Source organism: Homo sapiens, chromosome 12 (genome assembly GCF_000001405.40).
Source record: "Homo sapiens chromosome 12, GRCh38.p14 Primary Assembly".
Lineage (NCBI taxonomy): Eukaryota > Metazoa > Chordata > Mammalia > Primates > Hominidae > Homo > Homo sapiens.
Window position 1 is genome coordinate 24,866,751 of NC_000012.12, and position 12,924 is coordinate 24,879,674.

Consider the following 12,924-nt stretch of genomic DNA (forward strand, 5'->3'; position numbering starts at 1 on the left):
TGTGTCTAGCTCAGGGATTGTAAATGCACCAATCAGCACCCTGACAAAACAGACCAATCAGCTCTCTGTAAAATGGACCAATCAGCAGGATGTGGGTGGGGCCAGATAAGAGAATAAAAGCAGGCTGCCTGAGCCAGCAGTGGCAACCTGCTGGGGTCCCCTTCCATACTGTGGAAGCTTTGTTCTCTCGCTCTTTGCAGTAAATCTTGCTGCTGCTCACTCTTTGGGTCCACACTGCCTTTATGAGCTGTAACACTCACTGGGAAGGTCTGCAGCTTCACTCCTGAAGCCAGCGAGACCACGAACCCACCGCAAGGAACGAACAACTCCAGACATGCCGCCTTAAGAGCTGCAACACTCACCGCAAAGGTCCGCAGCTTCACTCCTGAGCCAACGAGACCACGAACCTACCAGAAGGAAGAAACTCCGAACACATCTGAACATCAGAAGGAACAAACTCCAGACACGACACCTTTAAGAACTGTAACACTTACCGCGAGGGTCCATGGCTTCATTCTTGAAGTCAGTGAGACCAAGAACCCACCAATTCCGGATACGCTACCATGTTTTACAGACTCGAAAATATCTTTTTTTTTTTTTTTTTTTTACCTTTAACATGTTTGAGATCTGGACTCAGCATTCCACAATTGTTATTGGCTAAGCAGCAGTTATGGCAAAGCTGTCATTGCCAAACGTCATAGCTGTTGACACTGATGATACTTCCAGTGGCTATGGGCATTGGTGACACATGTTGAGTGTGCCATGTTAAATGTCTTTAAAAACTTATGATTTAGCACTGAGAAGAAAAGTTACTGCACAGAAAAGCTCAAAAGCAGGAGCATGGCATGTATTTGATGTTAGTGAAACAAATATTTATAAGACTATTAAACAAAAGCAAGTCAATGTTTTCTTGCAAAGCAACAACCAAGCCCTCTAATGAAACCCACAATAGGAAGAAACCTTTAAAAAGATAAAGCTGGCTGGTGGCTCACACCTGTAATCCCAGCACTTTGGGAGGCTGAGTGGGGCAGATCACCTGAGGTCAGGAGTTCAAGACAAGCCTGACCAACATGGTGAAACCCCATCTCTACAAAAAATACAAAAAGTAGCCGAGCATGGTGGCACATGCCTGTAATCCCAGCTACTCAGGAGGCTGAGGCAGGAGAATCGCTTGAACCTGGGAGACAGAGGTTGCAGTGAGCCGAGATTGCACCACTGCACTCCAGCCTGGGAAACAGAGCAAGACTCCGTCTCAATAAACAAAAACAAAAAGAAGATAAAGCAGTGTTAGCATTTGTTACAAAATTACATGCAAAAATAAAAATGCCTATCACGAGCCAAGCAATGCAACTCATGGCAGGAGAAATGGCAGATTCCCTCAGAAAACGTACACCTCAAAGAAATAAGAGGCTAGTATAACTAACTCATGAATCACTCAGGATGATCAGGGAAGTACTGCGTTGCAGTTTGATTCTCCATCTCAGTGTATAAAATAATGTTACATCTTGTAATTTATGACATTCTATATTAAATTCAGTACGGTACATATGTCCAATGGATACCCCACATCTAGGAAAATGGAAAAAAAAATAGGGGTGTATCCGTATGTGCCAAAATGAAAAGATCTCCAAGACAAATTTTAAGTGCAAAAAACAATAATACAAACAAAATTGTTCATAGTATCACCACTATTTATATTTTTTAAAAAGGAAGGTACAGATAGAGAGCCCCAAAATATTCTTCATCTATGGAAACATGACATATCAAAACTGGCACTGTAATCAGTGAGGAAAGGATAGACCACTCAATAAATGGTGATGGGACAACTTGGTCTCCGTGCAGAAAAATAAAAGAAATTGTATATGTTACTTGATAACAAAGTTCACTTTCATATGGATTTCATTTAAATGAAAAAAAGCAAAACTTTAAAAGAATGTTCTTGGAGTAAGAATTTATTTAACCTGTATGACCTTGGAGTAACAAAAAATTTCTTTAAAATGCATAAAAAGTATAAAACATAAAGAAAACTTTAACTACTTTAAAACTAAGTACTTCTGTTCATCAAAAGATATCAGTAAGAAAGTGACAAAGCAAGACACAGACACAGAAGCTAGCCACAGACTGGGAAACTATTTGCAGTACGTTTATCCAACATAGGATTTGCCATAGACTAGGAAGTTATTTGTGATATATGTATCAAAGGATTTATACCTAGAATATACAAAGATGCAAAAAATTAAAAAGACAAAAGACTTGCAAAGGCACTTCACAAGAGGACTTCTGTAGCTGGTAAACCTATGAAAAGGTACTCAACATAATTGGTTCTCAGGGAAATTAAACCACAAATAACACAAGACTGTATACATTAGAATGAGGAAAGTTAATAAGACAGTATCAGTATTGGCAAAGAAATGAAGCAAATACATACACCACTGATGGGAGAGTAAACTGGTATAAGCACTTTGGGAGTTTGGCAGTGAGACAGCCAAGTGGGAAGAAGACCCCAGAGAAACTCCAACCGGCCTGCACACTGGGAGGAGTGCACACTGGGGAGCCACAGACGGTCACACCATTCACAGTGGGGAGGAGCCTGGCCCCTCCTCTTCCTGGGTGGTACCTGGGATTCAATCTGCAAGGCAGGAAGCATGCTAGCAGGACCCTGGCTTTGTGGGGAGTCCCTGTTTCCCTTTTTTCCCAATAAGTTCCATTATTCTCACCTTTCAAATTGTCTGCGAGCCTAATTTTTCATGGCCTTGGGACAAGGACCCCATCTTTAGCTAAACTAAGGAGAAAGTCCTACAACAGCAGTATCTACTAAAGTGAAATATACATACACCCTGTGACCCAGCACTTCAACTCCTAGGTAAATACCAAAGAGAAGCAACTACATATGTCTGCCAAAATGTCCATCTGCAGTAAAAGAGAATACCATACCAGATGGGAGATGGGGGGACATAAAGAAGGAAGTGCTATAACCTCCAACGTGGTTGACTCTATTGGAGAGGGAACGGAGGCAAAGGAGAAAGGTACACAAAGGCTTTCCATTGAACCCATCATGCTCTCATCTTAACCATGTGCTGGGTCCTTAGATTTTCACTTTCACTCTTTTCTTTAAATTGTATGTTTATAGGTGTGTAATTTGTTTTAAAATTTTTGAGTAGTGGCAGAAACAGGACAAAGAATCACTGCCAATTTTGTAAAAAGAGAGATAATGTACAAACACATGTAAGGGTGTGTGTGTGTGTGTGTATATATGTGTGTGTGTGTGTGTGTGTATTTCTGAAAGGGTATAAGAAAAGCTGGCAATAGGAATTGCTTGGAAGGAGATGAATTGTAGAACCCTGGATGGAAATGAGAGTGTGAGAGTGAAAAGGAAACTTCCCATCTATTGTATACCTTTGGTTCTACTTGAATTTTTTACCAGATAATTTCTCTGCCAAAATGAAAATGAATAGTCCTAAACTTAGAAGCATTGTAATTGAACTTGAGACTTAATTGGCTGTGTGTATGTATGTATATGTGTATGTTATATGATATATATACATGTTATAAAATACATAATACAATATATAAAATCTGGTTAAATACATCAAATATAGTTGAGAGCAAGAAAGCTGATAGCTCAGAAAAGAAAAAAGTAGAGATGAAAGTAGACATAGTAGAATGAGATGGGAAAGAACTTAGTCGCCCCCATTGGGGCTATGTTTCCATGCTAACCATTCCCACTTCTTCACAGCAGTGACCGCCATCAATATGCACTCATTTAGTGGGTTTATATTATGAAAGTCTGACCCCCTGCCAGACACTGAGCTCTGTGAAAGCAAGAAGATAGTTTTTGCTCAGCACAGTATCCCTAGACTTAGTGCAGGGACTGACACATAAAAGATGTTGCGGGATGGAGGTTAAGAGAATACAGGCTCTTATTTCACCGCTTTGGACCTTACTTTCACATCCCTAAAATACTGCATAAGCACCTGCTCACAAGATTGTTATCAGGCCAAGCTCAGTGGCTCTTGCCTGCAATTCCAGCACTTTGGGAGGTCAAGTGGATCACCTGAGGTCAGGATTTCAAGACCAGCCTGGCCAACATGGTGAAACCCCATCTCTACTAAAAATACAAAAATTAGCCAGGTGTAGTGGTGCACGCCTGTAGTCCCAGCTACTGGGGAGGCTGAGGCAGGAGAATCGCTTGAATTTGGGAGGTGGAGGTTGCAGTGAGCTGAGATCACACAACTGCACTCCAGCCTGGGCAACAGAGCAAGACTCTGTCTCAAAAAAAGAAAAAAAAAAGATTGTTATCAGAGTTAGTGCATGGAAAGCACTGAGTACAGTGCCTGACAAGTGGGGTCACTTCTGATGCCAGACGACAGTGATGAGAACAGATCAAATGCCAATTTCGCCAAGGAGACCAGGCCATTCCCGAAAAGTAGCAGTACCTTCTTGGGGTGGAAGTGTAAGATGGGCCTGGGCCTTTTGCTGGGATATAATCACTTTCAATAATTCCTTGGGTTGTATGATTTTCCAGCTGTTCACTGGAGCATTGTGTGAGGTAGCAGGGAACTGGGATTCCAGTTAGGGAATTGGGATACAATGTGGAAGATGCCTCGCATCATGAACTATGCAACAGTTAGAAATGATGGACTTGATGTACACATAGTAGACTGGATAGAAATGGAACACACAGTGCTGGGCGAAAAAGAGAAGAAACACAATGAAATCTGTAGGACAAAGTCTCTTACATAAATTAAAATTACATGTATAAAAAGCGATGAGATTTTTAAAAACACATATAAGCCAGAATAATATTAATTTGATTCCTGAGAATTATTTCTAGTGGAGAGAGAGGAAATGAGAGTGGTGAATGAAGATAGAAGGGAATAAAACAAAGACAGGGACCTTATATGCCCCATGATGGAAGTACCATGAATCAGGAGCATAATTAATAACCTGGTGTACCTAAACTCCAAAGAGTAAAAAACATCCCCTGTGACAAGTTGAAATGAGCAAGAACAGCCTCAAGATGATACTCACTGGTAAGAGTGGCCAGATAATAATAAGCTGATTATAACAGGCTAAAATCAAGGCAAATAGACTGTATCTCTAAAAACAGACTCGATGTCTTAAGACACTAAAAACGGAGCTGTTAATATAAAATATATTGAGTTATGCAAATAAAACTGAATATTGTTTATAAACAGTGGAATATATATATATGTATATGTATTTCACATAGGACTATGAAAAAGAACACATTAAATGTATAGACAGTACCCAAATTAATGATTTATAAATTGCTGCTGTGCTAACTAGTCTTTAAATCTTTCAGATTCTTCTGTTCATAGAAACTAATTGTAAAGTAAAGGAAAAAGATGATCAGATGTATAAGCACAAATAGAGGCAGTGAATAAGGAAAATATTTTTCATGGGAATTGATATGATTACAGGCTGAATTGTATGTTCAATCTTAAGATTTAACAAGGTGATAAAAGGAAAAGAAAGGCATGTCTATGAAACGCACATGTCCTTAAGCTCCCTGTGGAGTGAACCAGAAATGAAGGAGTGAATCATTTGAGACAGACAAATCTCATCTCCAGCCTTTCTTCTGCCCACTCACAAAATGGCAGCAGGGTTTTAAAATGGGAGTTCTAATGAACATTTCATAATGTAAGATTTCCCAGGAAGTTGCAAATGGGGAAACTGCTTATGAGAGATGATTAAAATGTTGCTCTACATTATTCAAATTATATTGTGTGCATCCAATGCTGGTATTAACTAAATGCAGACAGCTTCTTTCTAGTTGAGCTCAACTCCAGAGATGTACTTACAGACAATCTAAGTGTAGGAGGATAAAGTTTACTGAAAAAGAGGAATTAATTAATTTCTGCATTAGCCAAAGTCAGCTTGTCTTTGAGTACATTTGAAAAAGTCACATCTGCAGGTAGCCTGCAAATCTGTGGTGGACAGCCTGGGATCTGGTCACAGTCCTGGTTGGGCTAACTCCTGACAGTTTCCAGGGCTGTCTCTAGCATCACAGATTCGACCCTTTTCAAAGACACTTATTCTCAGCCCTGGTATAGTTCAGTATTGTCTCACTCTACCACCTCCCAAATGGAGAGAGTGGGTGGGATGAAATGGGACTGACATATGCCTAAAAAGTGGAAGGCTAAGAGCAACAATCAAATGGAATTTCAGAGCTTGTGGTTGTGCATATTTCTGCTATTGACTATGGTCAAGACACCTCTACACTTACCAGAATCCCCGAGGAAATAAAGGTCTGGGTCTGTGTGTCCACATGTGTTTGTACCACTGTACCTGCATGGAGTTACTCAACAGGACGAGGTTAAAATCAGCAAAACCTGGCTTCCTTGGATGTAGTGTTGTTAAGTATCCAATATTGAACATGACAGTCATATAATTTTAGTTTCTTGTCTAGTAAAGTGAAAACTTAGAAATCATTCATGTAAATGTTTTTATTTAAATATTATGATCTGAGATTTTCTCTTAATTCCCAACTGATATGTAATCAGCAGTAGTTTAGAGCCCTCCAGACTGTAGTTTCTCTTTTAGATTTAACAACCCATAAATAAATACTTTAGGAGATACTGATTAAAATGCTGCTATAATCCTTTTTATAAATATGAGAAATCTTTTGGTAATGTGAATGATTTTACTCTCTAAACTTTTTACAAGAAGTTTATATAACATAATATCCAACAAAGTACATGGATTTAAATATTTGTGTACCATACTGATGCTATACATTCAGGTCAGTGATTATCCTGTATTATGTATTTATGTATTATAGGCTATACCTTATCCAAAAAGCTTCAGTCCAAAAAGCTTGGACTATCCCTTATCCACAAAGCTTCTGACCAAAACTGTTTTTGATTTAGGATTTTTTTCAGATTTTGGATTAATCTGCATTATGCTTACCAATTCAGCATCCCTAATCTGAAAAAATGAAATCTGAAATGCTCCAATGAGCATTTTTAGTCATGTCAGTGCTCAAAAAGTTTCAGATTTTGGAGTATTCTGAATTTCAGGTTGTTGTTTTCTTCAAATTTCCATGCACTGGTAGCCTGGTATTTTTAATTGCCAATCCCTACTCACTGGTTATATATGAACAGTTAATTAAACATGTTTCAATAATACACACTTCCATTTATTATCATCATAAATCTATAAGGATTTTAGTAATTGATTTAATTATTTATCATGAGGAACTGCACAAAAACATTAGTACAACAAGTATGTATCTATGAAGATTATTAAAAATGAAGGAGGCCGGGCATGGTGGCTCATGCCTGTAATCCAGCACTTTGGGAGGCCGAGGTGGGCAGAACACCTGAGGTCAGGAGTTTGGGACCAGCCTGGCCAACATGGTGAAACCCCGTCTCTACTAAAAGTACAAAAATTAGCTGGGCATGGTGGCACGCACCTGTAGTCCCCGCTAATCAGGAGGCTGAGGCAGGAGAATCACTTGAACCTGGGAAGCAGAGGTTGCAATGAGCCAAGATTGCACCATTGCACTCCAGCCTGGGCAACCAAGCGAGACTCTATCTCAAAAATAAAATAAAACAAAATAAAAATGAAGGATCAGTTAATTATAAAACATGTAAAGAGACAGAGCTTGGCAAACATAATGAAATATTTTAAGTCCATCCAATAGCAGAGCCACTCCCTAATTATATGGCAGTGACTGAATCTTATTTTATGTGAAAAACAATAATATTAGACTGTTATATCAGGGCCTATGGAAGTGAACTCAACACTGCCATTAGGATGAAGTTTAGCTTTCAATTATATAAATATTTCCACTTTGGTGCCATTAAAAGTTCAGCTTTCAATGACTTAAAGCACTGAAATTACTGGCAGACATATATTTCATTCCTTAACAAGGTTTGGGATGGTGAGTCCTTTAAAAGTGGTTATGAAATCTCTGGAGAGTTTGTTGAATGCAGAGTCTCTGATCCTGGCTCTAGAAATTTCGATTTGGGTCTGGGCTGGGGCCCAACACCAATGTGTCCATTGTAGAATCCTCAATGTTCTATAAACACAGCAACTACCATACCAGGGAATAGAGACTGGACACAAGTGATCAACTAGGTGTCTATAAAACCTAATACAGTAGCCTAACATAGATTTATTCATTCAAAGAAATCAAAATATCTCTTGGACATAAGACCCAGTTAATCTAACTATGAAAAGGACATGAAATAAAAACATATAGAAGTCAGCCAAAAGCAAGACAGGACCAAAAAAAAAAAAAAAATCACATAACTGACAGAGTTGAGCTTGCAATTATACTATGAAGACAATGACAGGATAGGCCCATCATAGAAACATGCAACATAAAAAGATAAGTAAAGCTAGTCATCTCTGATGAAAGAATCCCAGCAAACCTGAAGCTACTGGCACCAGTCTTCCAGCCAGTACTTCACATATCAAATGTAGCCACCACGAAAACCTAATGAATGATCATTACCAACATGAATTGCGTAACATCTGTAGGGGGCAGATCTATTTAAATCCATATACATTATTGGATGTTATTTGTATCATGTTCCTTTCTGAATCACAAGTGATGGTTTATTCTGCCTATACCATTAATTAGAAAATGATAGTTGATACAAATATACCAACCAAATATAAATAATGTCGGCTCCCCAAATGGTATTCGTTAATAAATAATGTTGACTCCCCAAATAGTATTCATTATTTCCTTCAATTCGTACCTCACAACTTAGGAAGTAGATTTTTAAAAATTATTGATTTTGAGGTCCAAAGTGTGATCAAGTACATAAGTTGATAGAGTGTATAGTGAAAGAGAACCATTCAGCAGGGCTTTTGTACTAAGGTTCTTGAATGTGGGCAGGCATCACAATCACTCACCAGATCTACTCAGAGTCTCTGGAGCTTGGATTCCATATGTGTATTTTAAATAACACCTCGGTGATTCAAATGCAAAAAGTTAAGAATTCCCTAATAGTGAGAATGATCATGACTACAAGATGGACCACAAAACCTGATTTAAGATCTTGTCTAACTCTAGATTACAGGATTTTGGCAGTCTAAAGAATTTACTGAATCATGGAATTAGATACATAGATGTTCCTCAACTTGTGATGGGGTTACAACTCAATAAACTCATCCTAAGTTGAAAATATCCTTAAGGTGAAAATGCATTTAATATACCTAACCTACCAAACATCCATCGTATCTTAGCTTATCCTATCTTAAATGTGCTCAGAACAATTACATTAGCCTATGGTAGGGCAGAATCATCTAAAAGTGTATTATTTTATAATAAAGTATTGGTTATCTCACATAATTTATTGAATACTGTACTAAAAGCAAAAAAACAGAATGGTATGTGTACTCAAAGTAAGTTTCTACTAAACTCATATTGTTTTCAAACATCATACAGTCAAAAACTCCTAAGTAGGACCATCGTAAGTTGGAGTGCAGCTGTATTAGAAAACTAGATCAAGAGGAAGAGGAGGGAGATGTAAAAAAAAAAAAAAAAAAGAAAGAAAAGAAAAATGAAAACTAGATCAATATATTTCATGAACAGTGAAACAAAAATTCTTAAAATATTAGCAAACTGAATATAGCAAGATAAAAAAATGGATTATTCACAATGACCAAGTAGGATTTAGCTTAGGAAAATAAGGTTGATTTAACATCCAAAAATAAATTGATATAATTCATTCATTAATAATGTAATAAAGTACAAAACCACATAATCATGTCAAGAGATTCAAAAAAAGCAATTGACAAAATCCAACATCCATTCATGACAAAAACTCTCAACAAACCAGGAATAGGAGTATCAGATCTTAGACTGAAAAAGTATCTCAGAATAACTGGAAGGTAGTGCTTTGAGATCAGTAACAATGTTTCAACCAACTTTAAAAAGTACTCCTTCCTATCATAAAGTTAAAAATAATATTAAAAGAAAACCAAACACTGCATGTTCTCTTATAAGTGGGAGCTGAACAATGAGAACACATGGGCACATGCAGGGAGCAGCACATACTAGGGTCTGTCGGAAGGGGCGGGAGGAGGAAGAGCATCAGGAAGAATAGCTAATGGATGCTGGGCTTAATACCTAGGTGATGGGTTGATTTGTACAGCAAACCACCATGGCTTACATTTACCTATATAACACACCTACCTGCACATGTACCCTGGAACTTAAAAGCTGAAAAAAAAAAATTCAATTATCTTAAAATGTCAAAAAACTTATGGAAGTAGATGACTTTTTAAAATTGTTCCTATTCTTTAAAACTTGTCAGAGAGACTGCAATTCACGAAATTCATTATCTAGATCCTTACACGGCTTTCGAAAGGTATCAAGGATACCAAAGAAAACACTTCGGTATTTATTCCATGGCCCTATATATCTCTCTACCTTTTGCATTCATACAGCCTAGTAGAAAACCTGGTAACCCCGCAACACTTAGTAGAGAACAGAATGGCTAGGCTATAGCAAAAGCGCTCTATCTCACACTCTCTTATTCTAAATATCTCCATATGTTCCCTATCTCTTTACCTGCCAGCCACATTCAATCTCCTTCCATCAATTATCCCTCAATATCACACTCTCAAGCCACAGCTGCCTAGCAGATACCAGAGACAGGTGACAGGGTCTTCATATAAACATACTCGTCCGCTCAAAAGGCCTTGGCCCCTCCAGGCATGCCCAATCCATGCCTTTATTCACAAGGGCACCCAACCAAGAGACTGTGACCCACCAGGAAATCATAAGGTCATGTTATTTAAACCTACCATCCCAGCTCTTCAATTTCCTTCCTTAACTCCCACTGTGAACTTTATTTTCACCATTTTTCTATGTGGGAAGGGGAACCTCCATTCTCACTCCATGCCAAGTAATCCCAAGACCTCATGAAAATGAAAATTAGCAGCTCTCCCTCCCCTAAATTTTAAAACCATTTCTACCTCAGAGAAGTACTGCCACAATGGGAGGCACTGCACTTGTAAACTTAGAAAATAATGACTAGTCTTAATTGGGCAAGGCAAACAGCACTGCATTTACTCATTTATGTGCTGTCTATGGCTGCTTTAGTACTAAAATGGCAGAGTTTAAGAATCCTCTCCGGTCAGGTGAAGTGGCTCATGCCTGTAATCCCAGGACTTTGGGAGGCCAAGGTGGGAGGATTGCTAGAGGCCAGGAGTTTGAGACCAGCCAGGACAACAGAGTGAGACATCATCTCTACAAAAAATTTAAAAATTAGCTAGGCATGGTAGCACATGCCTGTAGTACTAGCTACTTGGGAAGCTGAGGCAGGAGGATCACTTGAGCCCAGGAGGTCAAAGCTGCAGTCAGCCGTGATTGCATCACTGCACCCCAGCCTAAGCGACAACGTGGGCAAAAAAAAAAAACCAGAGAGAGACCTCAAAAAAAAAAAATCATTTCCTACCTAAGGTCACAGAGATATTTTGTATTTCTTAATAAACGTCTTAGTATTTTGTCACATTTAAGTATATAATCGAATTATAATTGATTTTGGGGTATGGTAAGAGGTAGGGATCTAATTTCTTATTAGAAACTATATGGCCACAAAGCCAAAAAATATTTACTGATTGGCGCTTCACAGAAAATGTTTGCTACCTCTAATCTTGACAATCAGAAGGAAGAAGTCATTAATGATGCTACTGGGGGGCTACTGCAAACTATATGCTAGAAGTTTCAAACAACAATAAACAATAATAACTTGCCCAGCAAAGTACCCCAAAATAAAGAGTCAGTTTGCACCTCAGTTCCAATGAATGTAGGACGAATATACAGACTAGCAGATGTTGAATATGGGACCCATTCTTGATCCAATTTCACAAGCTGTTGAATACACTCTAAGAGCTCTTCTTTGTCAAATACCTGAAAGAATGAAAAACATAATAAATGACAGAATTTTCTCACAATGTGGCAATAATAAATGATCCTCACTGAAGCATTTAAACTGTTAAAAAATTAATAATCCCAACACAAAAAAATAAGAAATGTTTGAGGTGATGGATATCCTAATTATCCTAATTTTTATTTATTTCTTTCTTATTTGTCCTAATCATTACACATTATATGCATGCATGAAAACATCAGTGTACCTCATAAATATGTATAATTTATGGTACCAATAAAAAAAATTTTAAAGTAATAATAAAACCAAACAATTTTTTCTGATTTTCCCCCCAAAAATTGTGATGGGATGACGAGCTATCCACATGTGAAAGATAAGATTAGATCCCTACATCTTACCATACCCCCCAATCAATTCTAATTAGATGATATACTTAAATGTGACAAAATACTAAGACTTTATTTAAAAAGTACAAAATATCTCTGTGACCTTAAGGTAGGAAAGGATTCTTAAGTAGGAGATGTAAAACACAAATCATGAAGGAAAAAAATGGATAAAATGTGACTATTTGAAACTTAAAGACTTCCGTTCTTCAAAAGATGTAAAGCAACAAACTGGGTGAAGTTATTGGTAGCATGATCAACAAAGAATTTTAACTGGTATATATATTTGGATATCCCCAAAGTCAATGAAGAGATAGATAACCCAATAGGAAAATGGGCAAAAGCAAAGAGCACTTTATTTCTAAAGAAAAAAAAATTACATCTACTAGATGGGTGATACTTCATAAAATAATTTAGTCTCTGCTCACTTGCAAAGTAGAGAAACATACTTTCAGAGATGTGATGGGTCACCTAAGGTAGAAATGAGTCAGTCATAAGCATCTGAGTAAAGCTCATGAAGTCAGAATTTGTCTATTTAAATATTGACCTGTAACAGCAATAATAATGTAGTAATGTTATAGAAATTGGGACTGCCAATCATATAGGTGAACCCTGTAGCACCTGCCTCAGCCCCTGGTATTGCTGTCTAGAGACAGAATTCA

At 37.8% G+C, this 12,924-nt stretch overlaps 1 protein-coding gene across 39 annotated transcripts in view; it reads right to left on the bottom strand.

Annotated features, from left to right (window-relative positions):
• The window catches only part of BCAT1 (branched chain amino acid transaminase 1), a 139,317-nt gene that overhangs the window by 56,727 nt on the left and 69,666 nt on the right, over positions 1–12,924 (bottom strand). For 32 of the 39 annotated variants that reach the window (NR_182106.1, NR_182105.1, NR_182109.1 and 29 more), the window contains one exon: positions 11,780–11,899. The exons of 4 other annotated variants lie outside the window; for them this stretch is intronic. Coding sequence is in view for 27 of the 35 variants with exons in the window: in NM_001413107.1 (NP_001400036.1) it covers positions 11,780–11,899 (120 nt within the window). In the remaining 8 variants the exon portion in view is untranslated. Of the gene's footprint in view, positions 1–10,177; positions 10,205–11,779; positions 11,900–12,924 lie in introns of all 39 variants that reach the window. 3 more of the 39 variants (NM_001413098.1, NM_001413088.1, NM_001413091.1) reach the window with 1 other exon arrangement.